Source organism: Homo sapiens, chromosome 12 (genome assembly GCF_000001405.40).
Source record: "Homo sapiens chromosome 12, GRCh38.p14 Primary Assembly".
Lineage (NCBI taxonomy): Eukaryota > Metazoa > Chordata > Mammalia > Primates > Hominidae > Homo > Homo sapiens.
In genome coordinates, this window is record NC_000012.12 from 2,458,609 (window position 1) to 2,471,063 (window position 12,455).

General features: G+C 47.6%; 1 protein-coding gene across 56 annotated transcripts in view; it reads left to right on the top strand.

Annotated features, from left to right (window-relative positions):
• CACNA1C (calcium voltage-gated channel subunit alpha1 C) overlaps positions 1-12,455 on the top strand; it is a 727,171-nt gene that overhangs the window by 487,829 nt on the left and 226,887 nt on the right. The window lies entirely within an intron of this gene.

The window sequence follows — 12,455 nt, forward strand, 5'->3', positions numbered from 1 at the left end:
CCTCAGACTAGGCTAGGACCAGATGAGTTTGGAGATGGTGTAAGGGACAGGAAGACAGAGGACCTCCGAATGCACAGCCTCTCCTACCCATGGCATGCACTGAGCACTTGGTTACCGGTGTGCTGCTGGGTGGTATCATCTGGAGTCATGAAACCGTGGAAATGTGAGGGACTTTATATTAACCAGTTTACTTTTTGTTCATGCACGGAATAGTGAAAAGATCTTCCTGTGACTTTAATTAACTAGCAATAGAGCCAAGACTAGAATCATGTCTCCTGATTTCTAGACCAGCTCTTTCCTGCCATACAGCACTGCCTCTTTTAAAGAATTAAGTGGTATATCTCTCTTGATTGTCTTGGATTCTTTTTCTTTCTTTTTTTTTTTTTTTTTTTTGAGACAGAGTCACACTCTGTCCCCAGGCTGGAGTACAGTGGCACAATCTCAGCTCACTGCAACCTCCGCCTCCCAGGTTCAAGCGATTCTCCTGCCTCAGCCTCCTGAGTACCTGGGACTACAGGTGCTTGCCACCATGCCCAGCTAATTTTTGTTTTTTTGTGTGTGTTTTTTTTTTTTTTTTTTTGTATTTTTAGTAGAGACGGTGTTTCACCATGTTAGCTAGGATGGTTTCAATCTCCTGACCTCATGATCTGCCTGCCTTGGCCTCCCAAAGTGCTGAGATTACCGGCATGAGCCACTGCGCCCGGCCAATTGTCTTGGATTTTTACACATATATCCTGTCTCTTAAACTACACTATAAGCCCCTTGAAACCCAGAACTGTGCCTTCTATTGCCTCTGATTCCCACACAACATAAGCAAAGGGAACTTACTGAATAAGCAAAAGAAAGAGTTTGTTTTCTTTGCAGTGGGACTCCCTGGGCAAAGCTTGTGGCCTGTCTTAGGCTCAAAAGGCACGCAGAGCTGAGCACACAAGCACAATTAAAGCAGACTTTCTCTACTCGGCCTTAACTGTCTGGGGGTACTTAGGTATAGAAACTGCATATATCGTGGCCAGGACCCACTTCTTTTTGAAGCCTAAATTATTTGGGTTTTCCTGGTCAATCAGCCAGAACTCAATAGCCAAAATCAGGAAGTAGGAAGGGAGGATGACAGTGACTTTGAACATGACTTTAAGGAGCTTGTAATGGTACCGCCAGTGTGTCAGTGATAGCAACTGGGAGTTAATTCCAGATGCCAGCCAACCAAGCGAAATGGACACAATGACCCCGACCTGTTATCTATGTATTTATTAGGGGCCTGCAATTTTTATTAGGGGTATTAGGACGTATCATAAAGAACAAGCATGGTCCTTTCACTAGAGAAATTTGACAGTCTAAGAAAAGAGTATAACAGTCAGCTTTTGCTGTGGAAATAAACCATCTCAAACTCTGCATGGCTTACAACCAGCAACATTTACACCTGGCTCATGGCACCTGAGGGTGGTGGTCAGCTGCAGCTCTTCTGCACTCAGCTGGACTCTGGGCTTGACCACATTCTGCGTGCCATCCAATTCTGGAGCCCAGGTCGAAGGAGCCCTCACCTTCGGTGGTAGGCCTTGTGGTTGTCATGGCTGGGGGAGGTGCTCACAAAATGGGGCTTAGAGCCAAACCGCACTAGCAACTTAAGGCTTATGCTTAGATGTGGCTTCTGTCTTAGCTGTTCACATTCCACTGGCCAAAGCGAGTCACATGGCCACCCTCAAAGATAATGGGGCCAAGAAGTGTGCTGTACCTGCAGAGAAGCATGGGTGAACGATTGAGAACACATAGCAGCCTACCACAAAGAGACTGAGGAGATGATTGTTATCAACAGCTGTAGCTACAGTAATTGCTCTAGTACAGAGATTCTTAATTAGAGATGAATATGGTTGAGAGCCACTCATGCTACAGTGCATTAAAAGGAAGAATTAGATTAGATCGGGTCACTTGGTTTCCACTACAGAGGAAATTTCCCGAGGACGGAGCCCTGTCTCCATCTGCACTTAAGTAAGGTAGACGTGTCTTGTAGTGGTCAGGAAGCAGTAACACTCCTAGGAATTCTCTCAAGAGGATGCAGGCCTCAAATGCAAGGCCCTCATGTTACCTGCCGTGCAGTCCAGGAAAATATTTTCGCCATTAGAGATGATGACACTGAGATGGATTTGCTGTTGTGGGTGCCTTGTAGGTAGCTCCATGCTTATGCATAGGAGCAGCAACGGTGTCTGGTTTCCTTTGGGTCACCAGTAAAATGGTGGCTCTTCCTCAGCTCATCCAGCCTTCTGCCCTTTCTTGCTGGAATAGTGTCTGTGCAGCTTTTGAAACAGGGAACCATGCAGACCATGGTGGATCAGTGCACTGTACCAGTGTGGTTGGTGTCATCTACAAAGATGTCAGCAGTATCTCCCCTGACTACAAACCTAGACAAATGCCTCCGTCTTCTACTTCTCATAGCCATAGGTTATCTCTTTCTGTATTTCAGCAAAACTCCTCAAGAGTTGCCTCTACCTGTTGTCTGTGATTCTTGTCCTCCCATTCTCTCTTGAATCCACTCTGATGGGGCTTTCTTCCCCACTGCTGCACCAAAACATCTCCTGTCCAGACCATCAGTGATCACCGTTACCGCACCCAGTGCTCTGTCCTCCAGGGCCATGTTACATGATCTGTTGGCAGCTTTGGATACAGCTGATCGCTCCTTGTCTTTGAACCACCGTTGCCCTTGGCCCTTGGCACACTGCTCTTTCTTAGCTCTGCCCTTCATTCACTTGTTTCTTCTTCTTGGAATCCTTTGCTGACTTCTGTCTCATCTTCTCACCCTCTTAACATTGGGAAGCTCCAGGGGTAGATCCTGAGACCTCTCCTCTGTCTGTACTCACTCCCTAGTTATCACGTCCAGCCTCCTGGTGTTAAATATAATCTATGTATCTTCCAGTAACCAGCAGCTGTGTGTCACCAGCCCAGACCTTTTTTCCAAACCTCAGACTTGTATCCCTACCTGCCGACTCCGTTCCTCTCCTGTCTGAATAGATAATAAGTATCTTGCACTTAGCAAGACTCATGGCAGAACTCACAGTCTTCCCAGAGTCTTTCTCAGCTTGGTAAATGCTAGCCTCATCCTTCTAGCTTCTCAGGCCTTATTGGACTTATTTCTTTTTCTCACTCTTTGATTACAATCCATCAGAAAATCCTATGAGCTTTACCTTCCAAACATGTCAAGAATTTGTCTCTTACCACCTGCACACTCAGCTCAGCGCTGGCCGCCCTCGCCTCCGTCCTGGATGATGGCGACAGCCTCCTGCAGGAGTCTCTGCCTCAACCCCTATCATGGCCCGGACCTAACACGGCATTCAAACGGCCCTCTGAACAGCCAAGTCGGATCATGTTCCTGCCCTGCTCAGGACCCTCCACGGCTTCCCTGACTTGCCCAGAGTGAGCGCCAAAGTCCCATAGGCCCTGCGATCTCACGCCTCCTTCCTCCCTAAGCTCACCCCCTTCACCCTCCCCTCCTCTCCCTCCTCACCAGCCCTCCACAGTGACTCCCTTGCTATTCCTCCAACATTCCAAGCTCACCCCACTGTGGGGTGGTGGCCGGCACTTGCTCCTTCTGTCTGAACGCCCTCGGCTCAGCTCTCTGCACAGGCCTGCGCACCTCCTTGGCCCCCACCTCGGCTCAGCTCTCCATACAGGCCTGCACACTTCCTCGGCACCCCCTCGGCTCAGCTCTCATACAGGCCTGCGCACCTCCTCGGCCCGCCCCTTGGCTCAGCTCTCTGCACAGGCCTGCGTACCTCCTCGGCCCCCGCTGATGCCATCCCCTCACTCCCCGTTCATCCACCCTTCCCTGCTCCATTTCCCCACATCACCTCTCACCATCTGCCATTCTGTATGTGTATGTGTTCATTTGCTTATCACCCCTTACCTCATGAGAATGTAACCTACGTGAGGCTAACAATTTTTGTTAGTTGTGTTCACAGCTGTGTCCTCAGCACCGACAATAAAGGTGATAAATATCTGTAGAATGAGCAAACATGGTTACACGGACGCCCATGGCGGCTGGCATAGCTTCACATCACAGGCCCTAAGAGCCACCCCACCCACTAAAATGATGTGAGTGGTGCCAGCTTCCTGGACATGTGCCTTTGCTGGCTTTTCCAAAGGGTCTTTACTTCTTCTGTCTCATTTGATCTTCATGACAATTGGGTGATATTAAGAAATGTACATAGGCAATATATAGATATGTAGGGTTTTTCTTACAACAAATAGGTTCATTGGGCCATTTTTGACATCTGCAATTCTAGACCAATAGTGTTAGAGGCCCCAAAAGTTGCATTTTTTTTTTTTTTTTTTTTGAGACGGAGTCTTGCTCTGTCGCCCAGGCTGGAGTGCAGTGGTGTGATCTCGGCTCACTGTAAGCTCCGCCTCCTGGGTTCACGCCATTCTCCTGCTTCAGCCTCCCGAGTAGCTGGGACTATAGGCACCCGCCACCACGCCCGGCTAATTTTTGTATTTTTAGTAGAGACGGGTTTCACCGGTTAGCCAGGATGGTCTCGATCTCCTGACCTCGTGATCTGCCCGCCTCAGCCTCCCAAAGTGCTGGGATTACAGGCGTGAGCCACCGCACCCGGCCTAAAAGTTGCATTTTTTAAATGCACATATATGTACTAAATGTCATTGAAATCTTATGATCACAGGTTATGGAAATAGATGATTGCGAGGGTACAAGTCCATGAGTCATTTATCAATTTGTTCAACAAAATCGACTGAGTACTTACTTTATGTAAGATTTTGTTAGCCATTATAGCAGATACAGAAGTGAGTCAGATGCTAAGTGTGTTCTAGAGAGCTTGAAGTGTAGTAGAAGAAAAAATATTCATAAAAATGATTATATAAATAAAAATTGGAGCTGTCAAAAAGGAAAGTTTAGGTAAGATGTGCAATGTGATGAATTCTGTGACAAGCCATGCATTGGGGACACCATACTTTGGGGAGTGGTGATAGAGAATCAGGAGAGCCTTCTTGGAGAAGGTAGCATTTGGGATGGAACTTGAAGGATGAGTGAGGAGAGGCATTCCAGGAAATCACACAAAGGAAGGAGAGTGGCCGTGGCCCTGGAGATGCACACTGTGAGGCTGCAAGGCTAACGGCTTGATTACACTGCAGAGGTGAAAATCAGATTGGCTCTTCCAATGGGGTTCTGTGTAGTTGAAAGATTTGGCCATTTGGCTTCATAGAGACTCTTCTACAGTAACAGAATCAGTTCTCTCTGCTGTGAGCATCCACTCTCCCACTGCAGCCGTGCTGTGGAGCATGCGTATTACACCAAAGACTAAGCCATATGGAGGAATCAACGTTATACAGCCAGATGAACCATAGGGAGAGTTGTGGTTAAATATTTGCAATGTATATGCAAGGAGTACATTTGCTTGTGAAGCAGTAAGCAAGGGGTCGTTTCCTGCTTTCCATTTCATCTCATATGCCTTCTGGAGAAGAACTTTCAGGAGGGACTTGATAAAGGGAGAAGTCAAATGGAGATGAGAAAGATGTGTAGGGTCTTTGACGAAAACTCAGAGCAACCTAGACTTGATCTGATGATGAAAGGAACTGAAAAATCACCTTTCTGTAAGACCAGCACTAGCCTTGGAAGACACTCATCATGAATGTTTATTGAGCACTCTCTGTGAGCCAAGCACAAAGCTAGGTGCGGGGACAGAGGTAGATAGTGCACTCCCATCAGTCAAATCAGAACACCTGTCCAGTTTTCATAAGGACCATCCGGTTTTAGATCTGGACCTCCCAGTCCAGACTTGATAAGAGAACATCTTTCTAGAGCAGATAGTCAAAATCATGTAACTTAGTCCCTGAAACTGACATATTTTGGAGTTCAGAGAATATCTCCGAATCAGAGCAGAGGCTCAAGCCCACACTGCTTCACTCTTTATCCTTTGCTTTTTCCACTGCCTGTGTCCTCATCGTCCCAGACTTCCCTTTAATCCTGGTTAATGTGATTTTGATTTAGTCCTAATGGAATGCTTTAAGGACTTTTCGTGGGATACGTTTTTCCTAGTATGTGAGTCTTTACAAGATTAGATCTTTCAGGATGTCCCTTTTGTCAGTAAAATGTTATATCTGGAAGCACACAGAATAGAAAACAGCTCGCTATTAAACGGAAGTTTACTTTCATCCTGAGAGGTGAGAAGGAGCACTGAGGACCATGTGTGGATAGAGGTCAGAAGCTTCAATTTTTCCTTGCTCAGGTGAGGACTGTTTCCTGAAAGCAAATCAGCACCAGTTAGTAGACAAATATCTGTGGAGTGGATACCATATAGAAGGCAAGGAAAGCCTTACAACATGCTGGTTTTGAACATGAGTTCTTGAATCAGACTACTTACTGGCTTCTGCCACTTACTGACTCTGTACCCTTAGGGAAGTTGCTAAGCCTCTCTGTGCCTTAGTTTCCTCCTATGTAAAATGGGAATTGTAATCGAACGTATTACATATGCTGTTGGAAAGACTAAATGAGTTAAGGCACGCAAAGCACTTTAATGGTGTCCTGCTTATAGTAAGTGCTCAGTTAAGTGGTAGCTGTTACATTATATTATATTACATATGTAGACTGAAATAGAGGACAAGATCATTCTCAAGAGACAACAAATATACTTTAAAAGATAAGGAATATTCAAGAGTTAAATAGCAGTTTGAGACCAAAAATCACCAGAGAGGCATGTGTATGATTATTTGACTTGCATAGTGTAGATGATGAAATGGATTCAAGGGGAGAGTTTACCAGGGACTGTGGCAGTCTGAAAAGTTTTATGAAGGAGGACATACCGGAGATAAGCCCTGAGGTTTATGTGGAACAGGCAGGGATGGGGATGGAAGGACATCTGAGGGTGAAAACCTTGTTTGTTTAGGTCACCAATGTGGGCCAGTCTCGGCCAGCACATAGGTGTGGGGTGCCCAAACCCATTACCGAAAAGGAAGTATGGGTCGTGAGAGCCAGGAGACAAAAGTCCGCAGTGAGCAGACTGAGCTGGGTCTTGGATGGCACACCAAGAGGCAGTTTTCTAAACAGCCACTGCTGTTCACTCTCCATACAAAACGTTCAAAAAAACCGCACTGCAGAGACAGCTAAGTGTCTTGGAAATCTACAAAAGAAGGTCAGAACTGACCATGAATCTTGAATTCCAGGGAGGTTCACGAACCCACCCGGGCTGGTGGCAGAGCTGAGGTCAGAGCCATACCGAAGCTGTCACCGCTCTCTCCCACCCTGCATGACCTCCATCCCAGAGGCCAGGTCTGGGCCATCCTGCTCTGTCCTGAGCGCCCTGCCAGAAGATCCTATGCTGCTTGACACCAAACACTCTTTTTTAAAACATTCTTACTGATACGATGAATATTGACTTAAAAATTGCTGCTGCAGAAGTTGAAAACTCACCTGAGTGCCAAGTCCCCAGGTGAACCACACGCATCCCGAGATGTAGTTTTCCTCCCAGGATGGGTTCTCCCCTCCTGGGGATTAGTCACCGTGAAACTGGCCACACTGATTAGCAAGCGGTGCCAGTTAATCAGACCCACTGAGGGCACATTAGGGCTGCTAAAAGCGGCTTTTCTGAGTGTTTTCACACTTTGATGGTTTAAAGCCACTCATGCTGTCCTGTCTGAAATTTGCTGTTGGTAAATTGAGCCACAGCAGATTTGCAATCCCATCGTGGCTCCCAGGAAAGTGTTTTCTGGCCCAGTTGGTGCCGCATTGTGCAAGAGAGGAGGCTAGGCAGCAGGCATGGTCCCTGCAAACAGCTCCTGAACCTCGCTTGCAGTTAAGGACACCTCCCAGTCTGGACTGATAAGAGAACATCTTTCTGGAGCAGATATTCAAAATCCTGTAACTCAGCCCCTGAAACTGACATATCTTGGAGTCCCAGAGAAGATCCCAGAGTCAGGGAAGAGGCTCAAACCACAGTGCTTCACTCCCCATCCCTTGCTTTTTCCACTGCCTGTGTCCTCATGTTCCCAGACTTCCTTTAATTCTGGTTGATGTGATTTAACACTGAAGTACCCACAGGATGCTGCTGGTGCAGCTGAGCACAAGCCTGGGTAGGCAGAGGACCCAGCCTCCAGCCCTGCATTCACCCGGACAAGCCTGGAGACCTTGGGCAGGTCTGCCCTCCCTCTGGACTTTGTCCTGCATCTGGGGCTTGAAGGGCCTGGACTGGCTGGCCTCTGCATCCCCTTCCCTCTCCCACATGCTCATCCCCACCGCACCAGGCTGTACCCTCACTGCTTGCAGACCTTCAGCCTCTCCACCCCTGTTCTCACCCCCTCTCATGTCCTTGGACTTGGCCCTCATTCTCCCCTCACTTTCTATTTTGCTTCCTCTTGCTTTTTATCCCCTTTGTCTTATAGGGGTCTTACAGGCCACATACCCTTAAACAACATGAGGGGACACTTACAAAGCTACTTATGAGGACAGGGGCATGTGCAGGGGGCCACCCCTGAGGCCGTCCCTCATTCTCCTTCACACAGCGCTGGAGGCTGCCTGGTCCCCCTGCCCGCCCATCGGAGATGGTCCCTACAACATCTTCTAAGCCCTTTCCCTCCCACTTCTTTCACTGCCACAGGAAGTACTCAAACCTTGTCCGCTGTATGTGTCTCATGGCACTGTTCCTGAATCCGAATGTCTGGGTGGGAGGGGACTAGGCTAGTACAACTGAGCTTCCATTCTGCAGAGAGGAGCCCTGAGGCCAGAGGGCCACATGGCTTCCTTAAGGTCACAGAGTGACCTGGTGGCAGGTGGGCAGGACCCTTGCTTCCTGCACGGTCTGCAAGGGGACTCTGATGGCAATGGTGAGGGAACCCTCAGGGCTGCTGATCTTTGCTGCCCCCAGGTCTCCCAGCCTCCCCAGAAGGGAGGAAGCCCCAGGACCCGCTCCCCGCCTTCCCACCCAGGCAGCCTGGGGTTGTGCTCTGCAGATGGGGCAGAGCACCCTGGAGGGCAGCCAGAGACAGCAGGGGGTGGCGGGGGGCCCTTCACACTGCAGGAGGCTTGCCTCTAAGAAACAGAATTTAGAACAGGGTGGGTCCCACGCCCAGCCCCGCCCTGCCCCTTAGCACCTGCCAGGCCCACCCTCTCCCCCGGTGTCTCCTGATCTCCCAGTGTGGACGGTCTTTCCCCTTGACTGCTGCATCCCCAGTTAAGCAACTCTCTTCCCGGCATCCTCCCAGGTGCCCCTGAAAGACGCCTGGGCCAGCAGCTCAAGGCCCACTCAGAGTCCCGACCCTGCTGCGACTTCTCTGTTGCCCTGCCAGGTGCTTTGCCTCGGTTTCTCAATCTACAAAGAGTGAGTGATGGGGGTGCCATGGATAAGGAGGAGATTCTACCTGTGCAGCCCTGTGAGCTCCCAGCATCCGAGACCTCTTGGAGAGGGACCCTGTGGGTTGGCAGGAGCCACCGCACCAGATAGGAAGGGAAGAGGCCCGCCATGCGGCAAAGTGAGCTGATGGACACAGTAAGCACACTCACAGGTTCCCGCCTCTGCTATAGTGGAGTTTCACTGAGAGGTTACTGAGTATCAACAACAGTATGTGGCTGAACTGGGAACATCTCTATTATTTAGTGTTCTAGATACAGCAGGTAAAAAGTCCTCATGGCAAAGAATGCCTGCAGTCACACAGGAACGTCACATGTGTGCTAAGGCACACACACATTCCTCCAGTCACGAACTGGTCTCTTTTTGATTTGAGAACAAAATGTAGGAGGCAGTGATAAATGTTAGGGTTACCTCCAACTACAAGCAATATTCAGCATCCGTTCAAGGCCTTCAGACTCAAAGAGCTTGATTAGCTGATGAATCGGCCCAGTGGTCTAGAAACACAGGGACGTTATCCCTAATTTAGAGATAGGCAAATCCAGGCTATCTAGTTCAGACTGTTTTCCAGTCGGGATAACTCCCTCCAGGACTTGGTTTCTGTTGTTTGGAAGAGAACACAGCTTCCTGAGCCGAGGGGAATCACATTGCTTCTGGGCTGTAGGGCGCCCTGCCTGGCTCTAGAGATTGAGAGTAGTTCATAGTTTGCCTGTTGCCTTATTTATGTTTCAAGAGTTGTGAGCCCCTTGGGTGGCAGGACCTGATGGCAAATAGTATTGTTGTCACCTCAGGAATTGTGATGGGGTGGGAGGCACTCCGGCCTGCCGGTGAGGAGACCAGGGATCTAAGTCTGGCCAGCTGTGTGACCTTGTCATTTAACCTCTGACCCTCAGCCTCCTCACCTGCAAAATGGGAGGGTACAACTGTATTCGCCCTAGAGTATTAGCCTTTAGATGCCTGCCGTGCTCACCTTTCACCATGGCAGTTGCCCTCTGAATCATGCGTAATTTTCAGTCAGCTGACTTCTTGAGCACCCTCTTGCATGTTAGTTAGTTTAGTTTTGTTTTGTTTTGTTTTTTAATATTTGGCTTGGGAACGTTTCAGAGCCACCAAGGTTGTTGCCATTTCTGTTGGGGGTACCCCAGTAGACTATGTGGTGTATGACCCCAAGGATATACAGAATCACATCGGGAGGGGAAAAACTTGTTGGTATATATATACATATATACAAACATTAGCCAGGAGAAATGGTTCTGTGCCTCTCACAAAAAGCTCACAAAACACTGTGGTCTGTGGCAGCAGCAGATGATATTGATGATGATAGAAAAGTTCTGTCTTCACTCAGACATGCCATTGATCAAGAGCATTTATTCAGAGACTACTATCTGCCAGGCATCGAGCCACGCGACACGAGCCACCAGTCCGTTTCTTCATCTATGCCGCATTGTGTTGATACTGGCAAAGGACTGAAATAGGAAATACACTCATGTCATAGGAGGTGTCAAGCTGTTTGTCAGGGCAGAGAAGAGGAGAGTAACGTGGCACAAGTTGTAGACATCTTCCTTCTGAAGACATGGGTGATTGGAACAGCATGTCATCAGGTGAGTTTTCAGTGTTGCTTCCAGTTCTAAGCTGGGATAATTCTGAGTATTCTTAAAATGTACTGCTGTTGGAGGATAATGGAAAAGCGCTGAACTCAGAAAAAGCCTTGGGACTGTGAGCACCATCAACTGCATTGAGGAGACATCCAAAAGTATAATGCCTTCTTCAGGCTGTTTTTACTAGACCATATAGTCCTACTAATAAATACTTGTGCAAAACAGAAATACTTTTAAAAAAATAATATATTTATTCACTTAATTTTCCCAGAAATAATGCCTTGATCATATGTTTTCCCCAGAAATTGTTAGACTTACCTTCTATGGTCAACAAGAGCTTTCCTGAATTTCTTGAGATTTAGTGAAAGCAGGTAGATGTAAACTATATTAATTACATTGCATTTTCCAGAAATAAAAAAAAGCTTGAATACCCCTGAAATTCCTCTGAGTATTATCATCCTGTGCTTTGTTGATAGAGAATAGCAGTGACCTAATAATTTCTTTTTTAACCACTAATTCTAGACCTGAGGTGTCATGACAGAGTATGACCCTGGGCAAATGCCACTCTTTCAGCTCCCAATATAGTAAGCAATCACACAGCCCAGAGGTGGGAGAGTAGGTCCTAAAATAAGAGCAGGTATTTATTAAGCACTCATCTTGAGCCCAGGACTGTGGCAGGTGGTATAATCATCACAAGAGACAAGAGGGCTTCTTAAACTCAGGAAGCTCCATAATGGATTCCTTTTTGTGTCTGGAGACCTCCAAACATGAAATCACAGACAAGGTGATGACTGATTAAAAATAATGGCAATAATAAAGGCCACTTAGGCTTATAAGTGACCCAGGCTTTCTAAATGTTGGAAAGAAAAATGAGGGGGGAATGAAATGAAGATCCAGTGAGGCCAGCGTCCTGTGAAGTGATCAATACGCAGAACGTGAGCCCCATGTGCCTGTTATTATTGGTTGATTCTCTCGTGCTGATTCATGACACTTAGTGGTTAAAGACTCAGATGGTGGAATCCCACTACCTAGGTTCAAATTCCCAGAGCCACCATTTATTAGCTGTGTGCCTCGATTTCCTGATCTATAAAATGGGGGCTAAAATTACACCTGCCTGCTTCCTGGAGTTGTTGTGAGGATTAAATAAGTAAATGCTTTTAAAGCAATAGAATTGTGTGAAACACACAGGAAGCACTCAGCAAATACTAGCTACTAGTACTCTGTGGGTCCAACTCCCTATCTGTCTACCTCAGGCTCCAAGTTGGACTGATCAGAGAAGGGGACCTTCTATACTTGATCTTTTTTTTTTTTGAGACCGAGTCTCGATCTGTCTCCCAGGCTGCATTGTCAAGATCTCGGCTCACTGCAACCACCCCCTCCCGGGTTCAAATGATTCTCGTGCCTCATCTTCCAAGTAGCTGGGATTATAGGCATGTGCCACCACGCCTGGCTAATTTTTGTATTTTTTGGAAAGACAGGATTTCACCATGTTGGCCAGGCAGGTCTTGAATTCCTGACC